At 36.2% G+C, this 22,444-nt stretch overlaps 1 annotated feature.

Moving 5' to 3' along the window:
* Positions 1,763 to 1,962: a silencer, noted in NCBI's record as "fragment chr5:31018943-31019142 (GRCh37/hg19 assembly coordinates)". NCBI's record gives its function as "represses an EF-1alpha promoter that drives an FKBP-Casp9 reporter gene in an ReSE screen in K562 erythroleukemia cells {active_cell/tissue: K562}" and the evidence as "EXISTENCE:reporter gene assay evidence [ECO:0000049][PMID:32094911]".

Consider the following 22,444-nt stretch of genomic DNA (forward strand, 5'->3'; position numbering starts at 1 on the left):
AAAGCAAAGGTCCTACTCATATAGAAGGAGACATTTTCTCAGTCTTGTTATTAATTGAAAATTTTAACAATTACTTATTGTGAGCATATACAAATTCTAGGCAAAACAGTGTTTTGTATATACAAATTCCTATTTTCATTATTATAATAATTTTATTTTCTTCATATTGTTAGAACATTCTAACAAAATTAAGTGGGAAGTTTACACATTCAATATTTAGTGTGTATATATATACATACATACATATATGTATATATATGTGATTATAGATTTGACCTTTATTCACTATTTTATCATGACATTCGACACCATGCATTCATTTTAAACAGGGATCTTTTATTAAAAGTTTCATTCATTTTGACATTTTCTTTTCAGCAATTAAAAATACAGGAAAAAAACACTCTAAATGTATTTCAGTTAGCTGTTTTTACCAAAGAAATTTAATTTGAAAAAAGTAATTCACAGACATAGTCACTACATCTTCATAATGGTATTATGGTTTGTATGACTAAAAATGAATGAATAGGAAAATTAGAAATTTCATTCAGTTGACTCTCGACATTAAATGTTGTAGTCTGAAAAGAGATAGTGTTCAAATATCTAATATAAGATATTCAAATACCGAAATCATCAATTTAAAAAAACAATGTACCGTATGTATATTATTCCTACAAAATCAGTATACAATTTACAATTAGTATTATTGTTTTCTCTCTTGCAAAGATATAAGATAACATTGAAAATATATATGATGCAAATTATTTTGAGCCTTGCCTGAGAAGATAAAGTTTGAATTCCATACTATATCACAGTGAAAATCCTCTGAAATGTTTGTTCAGCAAACAGAAAGTACATGATAAGGTGTGAGGTTGGTTGGACCCTTAAAGATTAATTCAATGTTCAATCATTCAAGAAATATTTGAGTGTCTCCTACATATCAAACAACGTTTTAAAAGGTGAACCATAGGCCAAAAGCCTGAAACCTCCCTATTTCAAATCATGAAATTTAAGTCACTCCTCTGCATACTGATTCCTCTATCCAAAAAAGAATGTTGTAGGTATTTCTTGAGAGCATTCTGTAAGACTCTAGGTAGAACAAACAGGTAGTAAATATGGTATACTCAAAAATAAAGGAATTAGGAAAGCATTGGAGATTCAAGAAGCAAATACATCACTCAAGGATAATAAAGAATATGTTTGTTAAGGAAACTTGCAGGAGATACTCAATGATTACACGCATCCACACACACAAACACAGCTATTGCTTTCCTATGATTGTCAGATCTGACTAATGCAGAATTTTATTTCAGGTATTTTTCCCAATGATTGGCCAATGCCACGTGCTAGAGGTATAATCAGGTAGTCCACCAGAGACACAATAGCGGTTACCAGGAGCGAGGACTTGTGTGGCTCAAATTCTAGCAGTTCACAGGTAAAGAACTGTCATTGAAAAGACCAATCAAATAATCCCAGTAAAAAGTGGGCAAAGGACATAAACAGACATTTTTCAAAGGAAGACCTACAAATGGCCAGCAAGTGCATGAAAAAATGCTCAGCATCACTAATCATCAGATAAATGCAAATGAAACCACAATGATATATCATCTTATGCCAGTCAGAATAGTTACTATTAAAAAGTCATGGCCGGCCGGGCGTGGTGGCTCATGCCTGTAATCTCAGCACTTTGGGAGGCCGAGGCGGGCGGATCACGAGGTCAGGAAATCGAGACCATCCTAGCTAACACATGGTGAAACCCCATCTCTACTAAAAATACAAAAAAAAAATTAGCCGGGCGTGGGGGCGGGCACCTGTAGTCCCAGCTACTCAGGAGGCTGAGGCAGGAGAACAGCGTGAACCCGGGAGGCGGAGCTTGCAGTGAGCCGAGATCGCGCCACTGCACTCCAGCCTGGGAGACAGAGCAAGACTCCGGTCAAAAAACAAACAAACAAAAAAAAACAGATATTGACAAGGATCAGGAGGAAAAGGAAAACTTATACACTACTGGTGGGAATGTAACTTAGTGCAACCACTATGGAAAACAGTATGGAAATTTCTCAAAGAACTAAAAATAGAACTATGATTTACCCAGCAATCACAGATACCCATAATTGTCCTTTTTTTTTAGGCGGAGTCTCGATCTGTCACCCAGGCTGCAATACAGTGGTGCAATCTGGGCTCACTGCAATCTCTGCCTTGCAGGTCTAAGCGATTCTCCCACCTCAGCCACCCAAGTAGCTGGGATTACAGGTGCATGCCACCACGCCTGGCTAATTTTTGTATTTTTTTTTTTTTTTTAGTAGGGATGGGGTTTCACCATGTTGGCCAGGCTGGTCTTGAACTCCTGATCTCAAGTGACCCGCCCGCCTTGGCCCTCCAAAGTGCTGGGATTATGGGCATGAGCCACTGCGCCCAGCCATACTCGTACTTTTATAGCAGCACTATTCATAATAGCAAAGATATGAAATCAACTTAAGTGTCCATCAACAGATGACTGGATAAATGTGGTGTACATATATATACATACACACATATAAATAAAAGAAAATGCAGTATATATACACATATATATTTTATATACACATGCATATATATTTTATATATATGTATAAACACACACCAGATGTGTGTGTGTATATATACATTTATGTGCCATAGAATACTACTCAGGAAAACCATATACATATATATGTGTATATACATATATAAACCATATACATATATTATGTGCCATGGAATACTAAGGCAAACCATATACATATATGTGTGTATACACTACATATATGTATATGTAGCATATATACACATATATAATAACATATACACATAACATACACACACACACACACACACACACTACTCAGGCAAACCATGGTTTGCCTCAGTATTCCATGGCACATGGATGTAGTATACATACATACATATATATGTAGTATACATATGCATACTATATGCTATACATATATACATATCTACATACATACATAACATATATACCTATATACTATATATATATATACACCATACAAATATACATATGCTACATGCATGTATATATACACACACACATCACATATATATGAGACATGGAAACTCAGGCAAACAAAAGAATGAAATCATTCATGTCTTTTGCAGCAACATGGAACTGGACGCCAATACCATAAGTGAAATAACTCAGAAACAGAAAGTCAAATACCACGTATTTTCACTTATAAGTGGGAGCTAAAAGATGTGTACACATGGACATGGTGAAATAATAGACATTGAAGACTCAGAAGGGTACAGGGTGGAATGGGGATAAGGGATGAGAAATGACTTAGTGGTTACACTGCACATTATTCACATGATGGCTATTCTCAAATCTCAAACTTCACCACTGCACAATATATCCACATAACAAAACTGTACTTGTACCCTCTAAATTTATGCAAATAAAAAAAGAGAAGACCAGTCAAGTCATGATATAAATTTGTAGAAGAGGATAAACTGCAGATTTAGCAGAGAAAAAGGTGGTAGAGCAATTCTGCTCACTGTGACCACTATGTGGGTGGCATTTGGCCTCAAGACCAGAGAAAACCTTAGGTGGTTTCATCTCTGATGCTGGAAAGTATAAGGAGAAATTCACCCCTTTCAGGTTGGAAATTTTCCCTGAAATTTTAACTGAGACAAATCCAAACTTGAAAGAAGCTTAAAAGAGTCAGGCTTAGAGATGTAATCTACATAATTTTTAAACTGTGTGGAAATATACAGTTAGAAAGAAATTCACCCAGGACCTTGAAATACTTGCACATAAAATATTCTTCAGTCGATGGGATATATTCACAAGTTTAAACATAGGCACACACACAGACCAATAGAGAAAGACCATTTACCATTGTATGCCACAGTGAGACTTTAATAGCTGCAAGTATTTTATGAATATTTCTGAAGGATTGAACTGTTTGTCACAGTGTTGACATGAAATCATTCAAAGTTTCCTCTGTAGTAATGAATACTAGCAAAAATTAAGCACAAAGCAATGAACTGACAGCACCAATATTTCTCCATATACTTTCTGTTAATCATTATTCACTAGTTACATTTTCTTTTTTTGATAACTCACAAATCCAAAAAAATGCAAGCACACCCACAGACACTGATGATTAATGATAGGTCCAGATATTGTAAGGTTAAAGAACAAATGATTAACCACTTCATCATTGCCCTGCTGATTTTGAGAATGATGTCAGTGTGAAGGATTCTCTGAAAACAAACAAACATTATCATCAACTGGTTTCAGGCAAACTGTGGTTCTTCTAAACCTGTGGTCCTAAATATTGACTTTTTAAAAGGTATCAGGTATAACAAGTGACCTCAGAGGACTCAGTTACTGTGAGCTACAGCCTAAATCCCAGAGTGACTCAAATCAGGGAAACGTCTAAACTCTGGGTAATCTCCAGCGAGAACAATCACTTCTAAAGAATCTGTGCAAAGTGCCTGCCTCAGACTTTGGTTCATGTTTATAATCCAAGTAATGCAGACATGACAGTTTCTTATGTCTAATGTGCAAGGTTAAAAAGAAAAGCGAGTTTATTTAAAACGTACTAAGTGGTCTAAGGAAAAAGAAACAGCACATTTTTATGTTTATGGAGTCCTAATAGTTTAATTGTACTCTATGGAAAGCTTATATCTGTATATCAAATATTCATGTCTTTGACATAATTCCATATATTCTAACTACCTTCACCCACACTACACTTTGTGCTATATCTTGTGTATTTTGTTTTTATGTCATTTCCAAGTTCTTAGCTTTTTGCATTGAGGATTAAGATAAGTATTTAAAAATTGCTAGAGGCACTAACCCTAGCCATTTTCTTTTTTTATTATACTTTAAGTTCTGGGATACATGTGCAGAACATGCAGGTTACATAGGTATACATGTGCCATGGTGGCTCGCTGCACCCATCATCTGTGTTTTAAACCCCACATGTGTTAGGTATTTCTCCTAATGCTATCCCTCCCCTTGCTTCCCCCACCCCTCGACAGGCCCCAGTGTGTCATGTTCCCCTCCCTGTGTCCATGTGTTCTCACTGTTCAACTCCCACTTATGAGTGAGAACATGCGGTGTTTGGTTTTCCATTCCTGTGTTAGTTTGCTGAGAATTATGGTTTCCAGCTTCATCCATGTTCCTGCAAAGGACATGAACTCATTCTTTTTTATGGCTGCATAGTATTCCATGGTATATATGTGACACATTTTCTTTATCCAATTTATCAGTGATGGGCATTTGGGTTGGCTCCAAATCTTTGCTATTGTAAATAGTGCTGCAATAAACACATATGTGCCTGTGTCTTTAGAGAATGATTTATAATCCTTTAGGTATATACCCAGTAATGGGATTGACCCCTACCATTTTCATCACAGTTATTCAATCTTTATCAAAAACTTATGGTAATAATACTCTTTGACTAAAATTATAATCTAGTCTTAGCACTCTGAATTTTATAATGACTAGTTACTTAAACCAAGTCCGTAATTTTCTTAGTTAACATATGTATATATTTATAAATTTTTCCCCAAAAATACATAAGACATAATTTTAACTTTCTTCTAAAGCTCTATCAAAATAGTCAGATTTTATGTGTATCTTGGTTGTTTTTAAAGTGTAAAGCTCTTTAGCTTACAAATACATCATCCTAACAGACTGCCATCCTCCAAGATTGGAGGATTTTATGGAACTTACTTCAAAATACTTCTGAAATTCTTGGGATTAATAGTGGCTGCTTTGGACAACAGGCAGAGTTAAGAGGTATAAGAAATACTTTTATTTACGTTTTTATTTCTGTATGTATTGCCACCCGGGAGCCCTGGCAGAAGAAAGGTGTTATAGAAATATAATTTATTAATAATAATTTGTTTCAGGACGGTTTACAATGAAAAGGGAAGAGGAAAGGATCTGTGAAAACCCACAAAATTCCTTGAGAAGGTGGCTTACTAGCAGTGTTAAGTATTTACAACCAGAATAAAAGGATAGCTCTCACAACTGTTTTTATGAGCAAAGAACTGCATTGGTAGCTCCTAGCCAGGCTTGACAGCTTCTTTGGAGCAGACTAAGTAATTTTCTGTGGTACAAATTCACTAGACCAATTTCTGTCTCACCCAACAAACAATGGCAGATTACCCAAGCCCTTATCGGCTAAATGCCTCACTTTCCCCTTACTCATACAACTTCTTTAGAAAAAAGGAAATCTGATACAAGGATGATTTAGAAATAGTCATTTGAACTCGAGCAACTCGTTTATTTGAATAAGTCATGCAAAGACCAGGAAATATTTATTCTTCCTGTATCAGAAATAAGTCAGACCTTTGTTGATATAGGGTATCCAGATTAAAAAGGATGTGAGGCAGCTTGCATTGTTCCCTACATAAATAGCAAAAATGTGGAAAATATTTCCAGTGACAAAAATTTAAGAGAAGTTTGTTGGCTTAGCCAAGAGTAAAAAACTTTAAGAATTTGCCAAATGTAAGTATAGAAATTACTTTATTTTCTGGGAGAGGGAAGGAACATTTGTAATTAATTTAACTTTGGAGCATTCAGTTAGAGGCATGGTTCTCAACCCTGGTTGCTCATCACAATACCTGGGGAGCTTTAAAAAAACACTGATCCCTAAAGTGCATTCACAATAATTCTAGGGTAATGAGGGGTACCCAGGTATGTGTAGTTTGTAAAAGCTCTCCAGATGTTTTCAATATGTAGCCAGGGTTGGAAACCAGTGAATTAAAGACTATTTACATAGTTGAAAACAGCTGAGATTATCAGGGAATTAAAGAAGACATTTTAGGTTATTTTATTTTGTTTGTTTTTTTTACAAACCAGGGCATTGATCAACATCAAAATCACCTGGATTGCAGTGGTAACTACCCAGGACAGGCCCACTTTCCACACCTCTCATCCAAACCAAAGCTCCCCATGACAATTTGACAATGACTATTTCCTTGACCAAACTTCAGTCAGGTCTCTGAGCGCTCTTCTCAAGTAGGTCTCAGCTTTGATCCCTGCCCCACCCCAACCCCTGCAGCCCATCCCCTCATCCTTGCTGGGCCTACATAACACAGCAGCAAACTTTTAACAAGAAACCTGTTCAGCCTGCTAGAGAGAATCCCCCCACACTTCATATCCAATCCCCTTCATTCAAATTCTACATCCCCCAACTCCCACCCATCCCTCATATTCGGTCACCCTGGCCTGCCTTCAGAAAGAATTCTATTAGGTCAGTTCAGCGAGAATTCCCCCAGTTCTCGCTACCTTTGATGTCTCCTCTTGTTCATTTTCCATCCACTGATTATTTCCCCCACCACTCACCCTCCACACCCTGACAACCTGCTCCTTGGCTATAAATTCCTATTTGATCTTGTTGTCTTCAGAGTTAAGCCTGTACTCTCTCTACTCTATTGCAATCGTCTTGACACTCATCACAGTAGTCCTGAATAAAGTCTTCCTTACCATTTTCACAAGTGTCAGAATAATTCTTTCTTTAGCAAATAAGATTCTGGGGCAGTGATGTTGGCAGCCTTCCTCCTCCTACCCTCCTCCTACCTCCTGCCCACATGGGGAACCACTCCTTTATGCCACCCAGGTGACACCACTCTAAAATGTGCTACCACTCAAGTGCTATGAACTTCAGCACTATCAGTGTCCCTAAGGAAGACTGCAGTAGAAAACAGTATATACAAAAAAAAAGGATATATGATTTTTCCCCCAACAGAAAAGATAAATGTGGCCTAGCAGTAAATATTGAAGGAATAAAATCCCTTTGGGATAACAGAAATGCAGAACTGTAAAAATGTATAAAGGGTTTGATTGATTGTTTGTTAGTAACATGGTATGTATTAAAGAGAGAGAGAGACAGAGAAAGAGGCAACAAAATAGGAGAAAGAAATACAAGCCAGCACTTTTAAGAGAATATGATTTAAGAAAGAAAAAAGAATGTTAAAATTCAGTGCCAAACCTAGAATGAGATCTGTGGAATGTAGGCCAGGTGACAGATTCCTGAGTCAGGACCTATAGGTCCTAATGGCTTTAATGAAAGTGGATTACCTTACTTTAAATATGTTAATGATTAACCTTGGAAATTAAGACCCAACTAGGCTGTGGCTAATAAATACATTCACCTCTGCAACAGACAACAGCTACTCTTTTGTCTTGCCATACAATGCATACTTATAATACATGTAAATCACCTTGTAATCTTTTTCATGTAAAATTCTACAAAAATAACATTAAAATACATTAAGCATTTAAAAATGTTCATAAATAAAATGAGACGGCAACTTTCTATCCTTATGAAATAAATGTGCCTGAAAGTAGACTTAACCAGATAACCTTGCAAAGTCTCTTCCATTTCTAAACCTATCTTTCTTTAGTTCATCAGCAAGTTTATAGAGAATCTATTTTTAGGCTGATTTTATAGATGGGAAAATAGAGGAAGTAATGGTAAATGGACTTCCCAAGGTGTTAGAGAGGATGTCTATTGGAGTTAAAATTATAATTTACAGTCCCTTAATTGCCCAACTAATTACCAAGCCTGCTGTTAAAAGCACTAAGTTATATTTTTTGAATATAAAGTTTGATGCATATTTCCTCTGATATCAAGAGAATTACATCAAATAGAAAGCCTGCTCCACTTTTTATGGGTATTTCAAATTGAATGCCGCATCAATTACATGTGGTTTTGAGAAGTATGCTGCCCACAATATGTAGGATAACTCACTTGTACAGGACACATGGACACAGTTGTGAATTCTTTGACCTTTCTGTGCCTTTTGAATTCTCTTCAAGATGCACTAAAGATACAAAATAGCTCTGCATCAATGTAAACCAAGAGTTTGGAAAACCAAACTTTGTTATTATATGCACGATATAGAAAAAGTGAACAGTTACATGTTATGAAATATGTTTTGCACCAACTTGAAATTTTAAAAGCACACTAACAAATGTACCTTCATTTCAAGAAATAGGAATTGTTTCGTCTATTCCAGGCACTGCGGAAGACACTGGATAGGAATGTGCAAGAAGACAGTGTAAGCTGAGAAGGGGGCCCAATCTGACTTGTATTTAGATTGCTGGCTTCTGAATAGACTTTAGGAGGTGTTATGGGATGAATTCACAAGTGCTCCCCCCAGAATTCATATGTTGAAATCCTAACCCCCAGTAACTCAGAATGTGGCTGTATTTGGAGACAGAGTCTTTAAAGAGGTTGTTAAGGTAAAATGAGGTCACTACTCTTATTATATTATTATATTATCTTATTATTATCTTATATTATATTATATTATAATATATTATTATATATTATATTATCTTATTATATTAAGGATAGACTACTGATATAGTTTGGCTGTGTCCCCACCCAAATCTCATCTTGAATTGTAGCTTCCATAATTTCCATGTGTTGTGGGAGGCACCCAGTGGGAGGTAATTGAATCAGGTAGTTGAATGGGGGTGCGTCTTTCCTGTGCTATTCTCGTGATAGTGAATAGTGATAGTGAGTAAGTCTCAGGAGATCTGATGGTTTTATGAAGGGGAGTTCTCCTGCACACATTCTCTTGCCTGCCACTATGTAAGACGCGACTTTGCTCCTCATTTGCCTTTCACCATCATTGTGAGGCCTCCCCAGCCCTGTGGAACCATGAGTTAATTAAACCTCTTTCTTTTATAAATTACCCAATCTTGGGTATGTCTTTATTAGCAGTGTGAGAACAGACTAATACAACTACCCTTAATATAATATGATGGTGTCCTACAAGAAGAGGAAATTGGCACACAGAAGGAAGACCATATGAAGACACAGGGAGAAGATGGTCATCTACAAGCTGAAGAGAGGCCCACAGAAAAAAACCAACCCTGCTGACACATGAAATATGGTCTGGGACTTTATGCCTCCAGAATTGTGAGAATAGTAAGCCACCCAGTCAATGCTACATTGTAAAGACAGCCCCAATAAACTAATATGGAAGCAATCCAATGAAGCTGAAACTGTCCAGGTATCATCAAAATTATTCTAAAATTAAAACAGTACGGTTGAATTCAGAAAATGGCTCTCTTTCTGATGCAGCATGTTGTCTAAATACAAAAGAATAGCCAGGGACCTGATGATTACTATTTTCTTGCTTTTGATATAGTTCATGTATAAGATTAATGTTTTCTACATAATATGATGCAAAAATTTTAAATAAAATTTTAAAACTAAGAGAGGAAAATGAATGGAAACAAAGAGTCCTAGGACAGAGAGCTGCGAGGAGTATCAAAAAAAAGTCTGGAAACATAATTTCTGAATAGGCCTTTCAAGTAGCATGCCCAAGCACTGTCTGTACAGTTGTAGCTGGTGATGTTAGGTTATCATTAGTCTCATCTTGATACTTCCGAGTCTACCTAACATCTAGGGCCATGTTGTTTATTAATTTAAGAGGTCAGTGGACTGCTACAAAGAATAACTGTCCTAGAAGTTGATATGAATCACAATTTTCTTTCCCTCACGTTGATTTTGGCTTAGCTTTTATCCATCATCTTCTAAATTAGGAGTTTAAAAATTGGGGTTATGAGAGGCAGGATTAGGAAAGGGTTCCCAGAATGACTCTTCTCTTCAAAAGACCAAAAACCCAAAATGTGTCTCCTTTCCCATTATTTGCCTTGTTCCCAAATAAACTACCTAACAAGAAAAAAAAGGGGGTTTAAAAGAAGACATCTCCCACACAGCTGGTTATATATTGATAAATAAATCCAATTTTTTTCACATGCCAGAATGTGACCACTGGGAATCTTCCCAGTAAAACATTAACCAACTCTGTCCTTATTGAATCAAGACAATGAATAACAAAAGAGGACTTTGACTCTAATCTGAAGCCATAAAACAAACTGGATGAGGCATGATAATTCAACAGGAAAGAGATTACTGACCCTTCATAGACTGGCAGCTCTTTCAATTAAGATGAGTCCTAAGAGAAAAGGTAAGGTTCTTACAGGTCAGGCAGCAGGCTTTCTTGCTAAAATTAAAGTTGAGTATTAGTCCACTGAGTTTATAAGGAAAACAAAGCAAATATAAATAAGAAAGAATAGAATTTTCAGAGTGGTGTAGTAGAGTGTCACAAAATCAGACAGACTTATATATTAGCTAAATTCTAACACCCTTAAATTGTCAGGCTATAGAAAATTAACATTTTAAGCCCCAATTCCATTCATATAAATGGGATAATAATATTTACCTCCCAGAGAGATTGTGAAGACAAAACAACATAGCATATGTAAAGCATTTAGTACAATGCCTGGTACTTGGAAGACACAGTAACTATTACATTTTTATGTCTTCCTTTCTGCCTTTCCCATGAATATATTTACAGCATTGCCTGAACCCTCAACTAATTTTTATCAAGGAATGTGAAGGCAAGACACTCTTTTAAGTTTTTTGATATGTTTTCCAAACTTAAAAGACCAAAGTGATCTGGCAAATATTTCTAACATACTTTGTTCTTCCCACTTTACCTTCGTTCTTTCTTCTCTTATTTGCTACAGTAGTTGTCTAGAGTAGAAGATCTGTGTCATTCTAGTGACTATGTGAGAAAGGATGAAAGAAAAAAAAGAAACACTAATGGTAATACTTGAATCATTAGTATGAATTTTATAAGAAATATGAGAAATATGCTTAATAGTCAACTAAATAACAAAATCAAAAACAAACTAGATTGAAATTATTTTTAGTTTGTCTTAGTGAGCTTGGGCTGCTATAACAGAATGCCACAGACTGGGTGACTTAAAAGTACACTAATTCCATCATGGAGGTCCCCACCATCCTTTTGACCTAATCCAACTTTAATTACTTCCTAAAAGCCTCATTTCCAAATACTATCACATTGGTTGTCAGGTTTTAAACATGTGAATGAGAGGGGCACAATTCAGTCCACAGCATAGTTTATAAACAAATACGTTTTTTCTTTACATTTCAAACAAATGTAAGCATCCCTGTTGAAAAACTCTAAGAAGTTTCATGAGTACGTTGTCAGCCCCCAGTACCTTACAGAAGGTAGGTACTCAGAAATTATTTCAAATGAAACCTAAACAAAGACCTTCAGGAATAAGCTTTATTAAAGCACAAAAGAACTACCAAATTTTAAAAGATCTATATTTCTCTAGACAAAGCATTCAACATAAGCTCAAAAAACAAATAAGGATATATTGAAAAATGCCATTTCCAAAATGGAAAATGGCTTAGGAAATAAAAAAATACTAGTAAAAATGTAAAATTCCACCTAGTTTTGGATCCTGTAGGAGATAAGATTAAATCATACCACTGCATTAGGATGAAGAAAAAAGACTTTGCAAGTGTGAAGAATAAAGTAATGGAACTGAGAGAAAGAGTGTGAATGAGGGCCGCCTACAGCAGAAGTCAAATACATGGAAGTAAAATTCTCAAAAGAGATGAGTTAGGGAGGAAAGAATCCACTGCATGATTTGGAATTGGGACTGGCAACGAAGGTAAGCGAGATGCTTTATGAAGCTTCCAGCTGTATGGTCTCTATTCTGAGAGGAAATACTGCTGGGAATGAGAAAGAGGCAAGAAACTTAGGAAGTGGCTATGGTTGTGTCAGAAGTACTAACATGAACATGGACAAGAATTCCTGACACTCCATCATCTCCTGGCAATAGGAATCAAAATCATGACCCCAATAGAAACGGCAGGCTAATGCCCAATGACATCTTCCCATTGTTTTCCATGAAGTTGCCTCTTGGGGTTGGCTACATAATTTGCAGGGCCTAGTGCAAAATGAAAATTTGTGGTCCTGACTGGGAACAGAGAGGTCAATCATTTCTTCCCACGGGCCTGTGACTCCATCCCATGTCAAACTGGTGTAGTTCAACAGATTGCAACTTCCCTGCGGGATGCCCTTAGTACTTGAATGAGTACAGCCTTGGAGAAGATAGCCACAGCCTTATTCCCCTCTGAAACACCACCAGGCACTTGCCTAACTCCAGCTTTCCCTGGGCTAACACCCAAGTGCCCCCTAGAGGCAGAAGGCACGGGCAGATGCAGACACATTGCCGCCCGCACGACCCAAAGTGCAACAGCCATTTTGAGGCTCCAAGACTCCAAACTCCCAGGTCACATTCTATTGTTTCGTTGAACTTCACTTTTAAAACACAGAGTCAAAGATACAATTATTAAGAACTTCAAGACTGTAACTACACGGCCAGGTGGCGGTGGCTCATGCCTGTAATCCCAGCACTTTGGGAGGCCAAGGCGGGTGGATCACCTGAGGTCAAGAGTTCGACACCAGCCTGGCCAAAATGGTGAAATCCTGTCTCTGCTTAAAAAAAAAAAAAAAATACAAAAAAAAAATACAAAAATTAGCTGGGCGTGGTGGCGGGCCCCTGTAATCCTAACTACGTGCAAGGCTGAGGCAGAGAATCACTTGCAGTGAGCCAAGATTGCGCCATTGCACTCCAGCCTGGGTGACAGAGTGAGACTCCGCCTCAAAAAGAAAAACAAAAAACAAAAAGACTGTAACCACAGAGCATTAAACTCCAAAATTTAAAACATCCACAAGATTTGAAAAAGAGGGCACTGTTAAAATTGTTTGCTGTTTGCTGTTTTCTTTGACCCTATGTCAAAGACATGGGACTTTTTCTTTCTAAAACTAGTTATTTTTATCATCATTATCATTATAAAACATTACTCAACACAGTAAAATAAATCTCAAGTAATACAGAAGGATGGAAAAGTAAAAATATCTCAACGCCTCCTGTTCCCAGAAACCAAGGGTTAACCTTAGTAGATTTCTCAGTTATACTAGTGGCTACTGATGTAGAGTTAAATAAAATACACCTTTAATTCTTCCTTTGTCAACAATAAAAATGAAAACTATAGCTTTCAAAATCTTCTATACCGTTCCCAACTCTTTTTTTTTTTTTTTTTTTCTTGAGACGGAGTTTCACACTTGTAACCTAGGCTGGAGTGCAATGGTGCGATCTCGGCTCACTGCAACCTCTGCCTCCCAGGTTCAAGAGATTATCCTGCCTCAGTTTCTGAAGTAGCTGGGATTACAGGAGCCTGTCACCATGCCCAGCTAATTTTTTTAAACATTCTCCTGGCCATATTTAGCTGTTGCCCTGGCAGTGTATCAACTCATACTCTCTCCTTTTTTATCCTAAGTACCTGCTGGATAATTTTTCATATAGTATATTATGTGTAATGGTCAGGGTTTATACGTGTTCAAAATGTAAATTTGGATACGATATGTAATAGACATTTTGAAGTATATTGGAGAATTTTACAAGTTGACAATTATTTTTGCTATAACTTTTAAGTCCTAGTTGCATTGCCTTCTAGTATTCAGAGTTGCTAAGATAATTATTCTCTTCCTGTTGTAAACAAATGATCTCCATGTCTCCAGGAGCTTTTAAGAATTATTCTGTTCCTTTGGAATTTTGAAATTAAAATAGAATCATTTCTACTAGTCTTTTTCATGAATTTCTCTTAGGATTCAGTTTGCCCTCAAGGTCTCCCAAAACCTGAACTTTCTACTTTTGGAAGAGAATGTCTCCTATTAACTTTTTTAATTATTTTGTCTTCTACAGAGATTATTTGAAGATTTGTTATACTTACTTTTATATTTTGCATCTCTAAATTTTATTCTGAATTCCAGGAGATTTTGTTAACTTTATCTTCTACAGATTTTGTTTCCAGCCATGCTCATTCCATTATTCATTTGTCCCAACTGCTTGATTAATTTTAGCATTAATTGGCATATCATCTGGCCTTAAATTAGTACCCATTTAACATTTGAGTATGGTAATCGCTCCAAAGTCACTATCAAAACTTTCTTCATTTTATGCAGAGAATGGGACCCAGTTACGTCTGTGACTGAAATATTAAAGTTACTATGTTGAAAAAAGTTTGAAAACAAGCGTAGACAGATTCAAAGAATAATTACGATGTCTCATTTTTGGAAACAGACTAAGACTACATGTGGTAAATAAAAGACAGTGATGTAAATTAAACTGACTTGGAGAAGAAAATAAACTACAACTTCCCTAAGGGGAAAAACATTAGAATAAAGTAATTATTCCAAGAGATAGAAGATACTTGATTGACTAAATACAGAGAAAGCTAGACAGAGTGGATTAAGAGTAAGTTATGAAGAGACGGTGGTTAAAACTCTGCATATGTGAAGGATATTAATATCTGATTACTGTTCAAAATGCCAGACACTGGTATAAAGAAGATACAATTAGACGTAGCCTTATTAATTAACAGCTTACATTTTCAAGGTGCCTCATTACTATAATTACTCACAACAGATCAGGGGAAAAATTTTCTCACCTTTCTGTGAATCAGCATTAGTAACAGAGATTTGAATCCTCAATTCTGTATTTAGTACCTTTTACTATTTTGATCTCATATTACTTGAGCACATTTCACAAAAAGAAAGAACCAACGTATTTCTACTTTAGGTGCCAGGTTTTATTGATTTTGAACATATGGGCCATATAATTAAATTTAACATTATACTTTCTAGTGAATAGACTAACTCAATACATGAGAAATACATACATTAAAGCTAATAGGTTAAAATCAGCAAAATTCTTAAGAAGCTGCTATAGTGTGGTTTGTCTTACCCTTTCAAATCTCATCTTGAAATTTGATTTCCAATGTTGTAGTTGGGACTTAGTAGGAGGTTTTTTGGGTCACAAGGGCAGATCCCTTATGAATAGATTAATGCCCTTTCTGGGGGTAGGAGGAAGTAAGTTCTCATTCTATTAGTTCTTGTGAGAGCTTGTTGTTAAAAACGGCACCTCCGTCTCTCTCTCTCTTGCTTCCTCTCTCGCCATGTAACCTCTGCAAATGCTGTCTTCTCTTTACCTTCCCATCATGAGTGGAAGCAGCCAGAGGCCCTCACCAGAAGCAGATGCTGGTCCCATGCTTCTCATACAGCCTGCAGAACCATGAGCCAAATAATCTTTTCTTTAGCAATTACCCAGCCTCAGGTATTCCTCTATAGCAACACAAATGGACTATAACAGAAGCCTATCTATCAAACGTTGTACCATTCACTGAAGTATTATAAATCAATGAAATGACAAATATTAATAGCAAGCTGTTAAGTTAATATTTTCTATTACACCATCATGGAAATTGGATCAGTCAAGTGTCTGTGGATTCAGATTTGCTTGAATTTGTTTTGTTTTTAAATTTACAACCCTTCAGAGTTTATTTTCTCTAAGTCAAGAAGCATAGCATTCTAGCTCTAAAGGAGTTTTTTAAATAGGGATCATTCTTTAATAAGAAGTATGCAGTCGGGTCAGCTTGTGGTTTACAATAAGAGATACTATGACTAGTGGAGACTGAATCAAATAGTACTTCCAATTACCTTCTACCCAAGAGAGTTTGATCTCATTATTTTGTTTGAATTTCTAAACCCATACTTTCATCTTTCTTTGGTCATGTTCCCAGAAACATCTGATGTATTTAAAACAAATAAATAATTTGTAGCTGTTGTTTCAGATGAGTGAGGAAATGACCAAATTAGTATTTTCTCTGGGTCAACATGTGCTCTGTGAAAATGGGATACATAGTAGATAGCCTGAACAAAATTGGAGCCTGGCCAGTGGAAAAATACAGAAGTCTGATCTTTGATGTATTAGAGCACTCATTAAAGAAAAAAAAAAAACTAAAAAGGAACTCACCCTTTTTCATCAGTATCATGTTTTATGAGAAAGAAATGAAGTATCCAATGATGAAAATTATGATTCTTCTCACACTTGAAACATGGAAGTTTTGAAATGCAAGACTTTCAGAAAACCCATTCTAATCTAGTATTGAAATATTTCTTGCATCAATCATAATTATAACTTTTAATTGTGTTGACATCTCAGGAAGACTAGGTAAAATTTGCCATTTTGGGGAGATCACTATAGAATAAGTTAAAACTGGGGTTGGGTGTGGTGGCTCACACCTATAATCCCAGCACTTTGGGAGGCTGAGGCAGGTGAATCACGAGGTCAGGAGATCAAGACCATCCTGGCTAACATGGTGAAACCTCATCTCTACTAAAAATACAAAAAATTAGCTGGGCGTGGTGGCACACACCTGTAGTCCCAGCTACTTGGGAGGCTGAGGCAGGGGAATCACTTGAACCCAGGAGGCAGAGGTTGCAGTGAGCCGAGATTGCACCACTGCACTCCATCCTGGGTGAGACAGTGAGACTTGTCTCAAAAAACAAAACAAACAAAAACTTCCACTCGTCTAAATTTCATCAAGATAGTATAATTTAAATTCTTATTGTAGTCTGTCAGCTTGTTCTATACCATGTATATGGATGGTTAAAATGGTTATACTTGCTTTCTGGGTAGTTACTTCCTTTAATATGGCAAAATAGAAATTATGGTTTTAAAGATGCAGGGCAAATTAAAGGGTTTTCTTTCAGTAATCAGGATTAATTTCTTTGTTTTAGCAACTATTATAATTTTAGATGAACTCTCATTTGCTAAGGAAGAAGAAAAAAATCAGGGACAGTACACATTCTAGGTAATCTACATTTATCTGCCATTATGAATGAATTTGGATAATTTCTCAGACTTCCATCTCTTTATTTTACACATTAGGAAAACCCAGGATGAGACAGACTAGAAAATGCAGCTTAATGTCAGCAGCCAGCTATTATATTTAGTTATCAAGCTAAGATTAAAACTCAGACCTCTGATATTTAGTTGGTTAGCCTTTCCACAATATCATACTGCATCTCCTTAACATAAAAAGATTTTAAAAATATATTAAGCGAGATGGGAAAAGAAATTCAAAGTAACTAAGAGCTTCTAAGAAAGCAGTAGTTGTAGATTAGCCTTGAAAAGGGAGAGTTCTTTCTTCTACATTTCTTATAAAGTCATGTTTTAGATTTTAGGTTGAATAATTATGTGTCTGCCTATAAAGGATCATAAGTAGATTGCTAGGTGTGTTACACATAGAATAATTTAAGTCCCGAAGATCAAATTCCTTTGTTTTCCTCTCAAATGGTTGTTCACATTCTATTTTTTGCAGTGTAACCCACTTTCCAAACCGATGTTACTGCCATAAATAGATCAATGAACCCATTGTAATGAATCATTACTAGGTTTTCAAAAAATAAATATAAAAAGGCTATGATAACTACATAGCTAGAATGTAGTTTTTAAACAACTGGACATAAGACCAATAAAAGGCAAGCCCTTCTTTTGGAACATTAACATGGCATTACCATTGGCAGAACTATCAGTTGGTAGGTGACAACACATCTTTAAGATAAAGATTCTAGGCCGGGCGCGGTGGCTCACGCCTGTAATCCCAGCACTTTGGGAGGCCATGGCGGGCGGATCACAAGGTCAGAAGATCGAGACAATCCTGGCTAACACGGTGAAACCTCGTCTCTACTAAAAATACAAAAAAAATTAGCCGGGCGTGGTGGCGGGCGCCTGTAGTCCCAGCTACTCGGGAGGCTGAGGCAGGAGAATGGTGTGAACCCGGGAGGCGGAGCTTGCAGTGAGCCGAGATTGCACCACTGGGCGACAGTGCGAGACTCCGTCTAAAAAAAAAAAAAAAAAGATTCTGAGGGAAACATAAGATATTGCCAGTGTTCAAATAAGTCATTCAGTAACAGTCAGAAAGAAGAGCTTACTAGGAATCTGGGCAAGGGAAAGTCTGTGGATAAACAATGGGTCCTGAAAGGCTGTTCACAGAAAGCGCACAATGAAAAGGGATGAGGTTAGAATATGGCATATACATCTGGTATATCTGCTCACCTCTCTAGAACCTGTTTTAAATTTCACATTCAAGCATTCTTGTTTCAGTTATTTACTCTCTGCCATAAGGTTTTGGAAGATAGGATTTTGATAGGTGAATAAATAATGCAGTGACTTGAGTATAGAGACAAAGATCAGTGTGGAGACTGGGAAGCCACAGATTCATTGGAGGAAAGTCTAAGAGGGTCAGAGACCCTTTCCAGCTCAGAAAGTCTATTAGTTCAACCTTTAAAGCCAACGGGAGATTTTATAAAAGGCAGCAGAATTTAAACTATGGAAAAAGAAGAATAATGGCAATAAAGGTATTTTATCTAGTTTGCCCTTATTGAAAAATCCAGAAGTAAAGACACAATAAAAATGTAATGATAGATTTAATTCAGTAGGGCTGCGTTAAAAAGAATATGGCAAATAATGAAATAATATCATACAGGATTCAGTCTTGAGATAAGAATTTTCTCTTATCAGGTATGTATGACCTGATGAAGGAAGTTTAATTTTTAACCATCCACCCAGTTTTTTGTTTTATTTTTAGCCATTGATTTATGATAGAAATAAGCATTGAGAAGGAACCTTAAACTATATCTTTGTTCTTTAGGTTTCATTTGAGCAGAGAACTGTAACTTTAATCGCCCTGTATGTCTTTAATACGTACGTCAATAGAACTAAAATCAAAATTGCTTTAAATAACTGTCTGAACTGTCTGCAGCTGTAGTCACACGGAAAGCATTTAACCAAAATGTAAATTCAGTCAATTTAATATGACCATTGTTGGAAATATTTTCTTTATGAGTCATAGTAACTAGATAGAAAAGCATTCACAATCAAGTTTTTGAAATACCCAAGAAAATAAAGGAATTTATAGGAATATTATTTTTCCTTGAAATAAATTTATTTTACAATATTAAAAAAAAGAAGGTAGCAGTTTCTTACATACTCACAAACTTACTTTTAATAAGAATATACATTAAATAGTGTTCAATAATTTAAAAATAAAGCAAACACAAGAAATCACTTGTAGAAACAATAAAGCAGATATAAAACTGCAAAAAAGGTTAAATCAACACTATGACAAAAACAAAGAGTTGAGAGAAAACTAAATGGAGTAAAGAATAGAAGGAAAGATACCAGGCACAAAGAGAGAAAACAGGGATGCAAACTGAAAATAATAAACTTCTTGGGAGAAGTTAAATGAGTAAATAGTTCAGAACTGGTAGTTATATATATATAGAAAGAAACATTTTAATCAGAAAAAAAGAAAAAGAAAAACCTGAAGTTTTGCCTAGGCAAATTTAATCAGAACTGAACAACTAGAAATATCTCAATAAAAACTTAAATTTCAAAGATAAATAGGTAACCCAAGAAGCACTCTAGGAGGACAATAATTAAAATAATATTAGCCTCAGCCGCCTTCTCTGCAAAAATAAATGTCAGAAAGTAATTATATGAAGGCAGCCAGTGAAATTGGGGAGGGGCTACAGGGTTAAGGAAGCTCCTAGCTGAATTTTGTAATAATTTCGACTGAGCACGAATTTTCCTGAACAGAATCCAGAAGGGGAGTGTGGGGAAGAGGGGGGAGGAGGAAGAGGCAGTGGGGTGACAGGGTGGCAGTGCAAATAAGAAGTTCAGATACAAGCTCAGAAGCCACAGCCAAGGATGCAGGCATGTTGGGAGGGCAAGGCCTAATAGCCCTGCTTGCTTTTTCAGTGGGGAGGCTTGTAACTTGGGATAAGATCTCAGCACTGCACATGGAACATTCTCCAGGATAGACCATGACAGGCCACAAAACAAGTCTCAATAAATTTAAGAAAATTGAAATTATATCAAGTACTCTCTCAGACAACAGTGGAATAAAATTGGAAATTAACTCCAAAAGGAAACCTCAAAACAGTACAAATACATGGAAATTAAATAATCTGCTCCTGAATGATTGAGTCAACAATGAAATCAAGATGGAAATTTAAAAATGCTTTGAACTGAACAAAAATAATGACACAACCCATCAAAACCTCTGGGACACAACAAAAGTGGTGCTAAGAGGAAGGTCATAACATTAAATGCCTGCATCAAAAAATCTGAAACAGCACAAACAGACAATCTAGGTCATACCTCACCGAACTATAGAAACAAGAACAATCCAAACCCAAACCCAACAGAAGAAAAGAAATAAAGATTAGAGTAGAACTAATCGAAGTTGAAACAGTAACAACGAGCAAAAACAAAACAAAAAAAAAGGATAAATGAAACAAAAAGCTGGTTCTTTGAAAGGATGAATAAAATTGATAGACCATTAGTGAGATTAACCAAGACAAGAAGAGAGAAGGTCCAAATAAACTCAATTAGAAACGAAATGGGAGATATTACAACCAATACCACAAAAATACAAAAAAACCATTCCACACTAATATGAACACCTATATGTGCACAAACTAGAAAACCTAGAGGAGATGGTAGACTCCTGGAAATAAACAACCCTCCTACATTAAACCAGGAAGAAACAGAAACTCTGAACAGACCAATAACAACTAATGAGATTGAAGCAGTAATAAAAAAAAAAAAAAATTTGCCCACAAGACAAGTATGCCCGTTCTCACCACTCCTATTCAACATAGTATTGGAAGTTCTGGCCAGGGCAATCAGGCAAGAGAAAGAAATAAAGGTATTCAAACAGGAAGAGAGGAAGTCAAATTGTCTCTGTTTGCAGATGACATGATTGTATATTTAGAAAACTCCATCATCTCAGCCCAAAATCTCCTTAAGCTGATAAGCAACTTCAGCAGAGGCTCAGGATAAAAAATCAATGTGCAAAAATCACAAGCATTCCTATACACCAATAATAGACAAACAGAGAGTCAAATCATGAGTGAACTCCCATTCACAATTGCTACAAAGAGAATAAAATACCTAGGAATCCAACTTACAAGGGATGCCAAGGACCTCTTCAAGGAGAACTACAAAGCACTGCTCAAGGAAATAAGAGAGGACACAAGCAAATGGAAAAACATTAAATGCTCATGGATAGGAAGAATCAGTATTGTGAAAATGGCCATACTGCCCAAAGTAATATACAGATTCAATGCTATTCCCATCAAGCTACCATTGACTTTCTTCACAAAATTAGAAAAAACTACTTTAAATTTCATATGGAAACAAAAACAAGCCCTTATAGCCAAGACAATCCTAAGCAAAAAGAACAAAGCTGGAGGCATCTTGCTACCTAACTTCAAACTATACTACAAGACTACAGTAACCAAAACAGCATGGTACTGATACCAAAACAGACATATAGATCCATGGAACAGAACAGCGGCCTCAGAAATAATACCACACATCTACAACCATCTGATCTTTGACAAAGCTGACAAAAACAAGCAATGGGGAAAGTATTCCCTATTTAATAAATGATGTTGGGAAAACTGGCTAGCCATATGCAGAAAACTGAAATGGGACCCCTTCCTTACACCTTATACAAAAGTTAACTAATGATGGATTAAAGACTTAAATGTAAGACCTAAAACCACAAAAACCCTAGAAGAATACATACGCAATACCATTCAGGACATAGGCATGGGCAAAGACTTCATGACTAGAACACCAAAAGCGATTGCAACAAAAGCCAAAATTGACAAATGGGATCTAATTAAA

Source organism: Homo sapiens, chromosome 5 (assembly GCF_000001405.40).
Source record: "Homo sapiens chromosome 5, GRCh38.p14 Primary Assembly".
Taxonomy (NCBI): domain Eukaryota; kingdom Metazoa; phylum Chordata; class Mammalia; order Primates; family Hominidae; genus Homo; species Homo sapiens.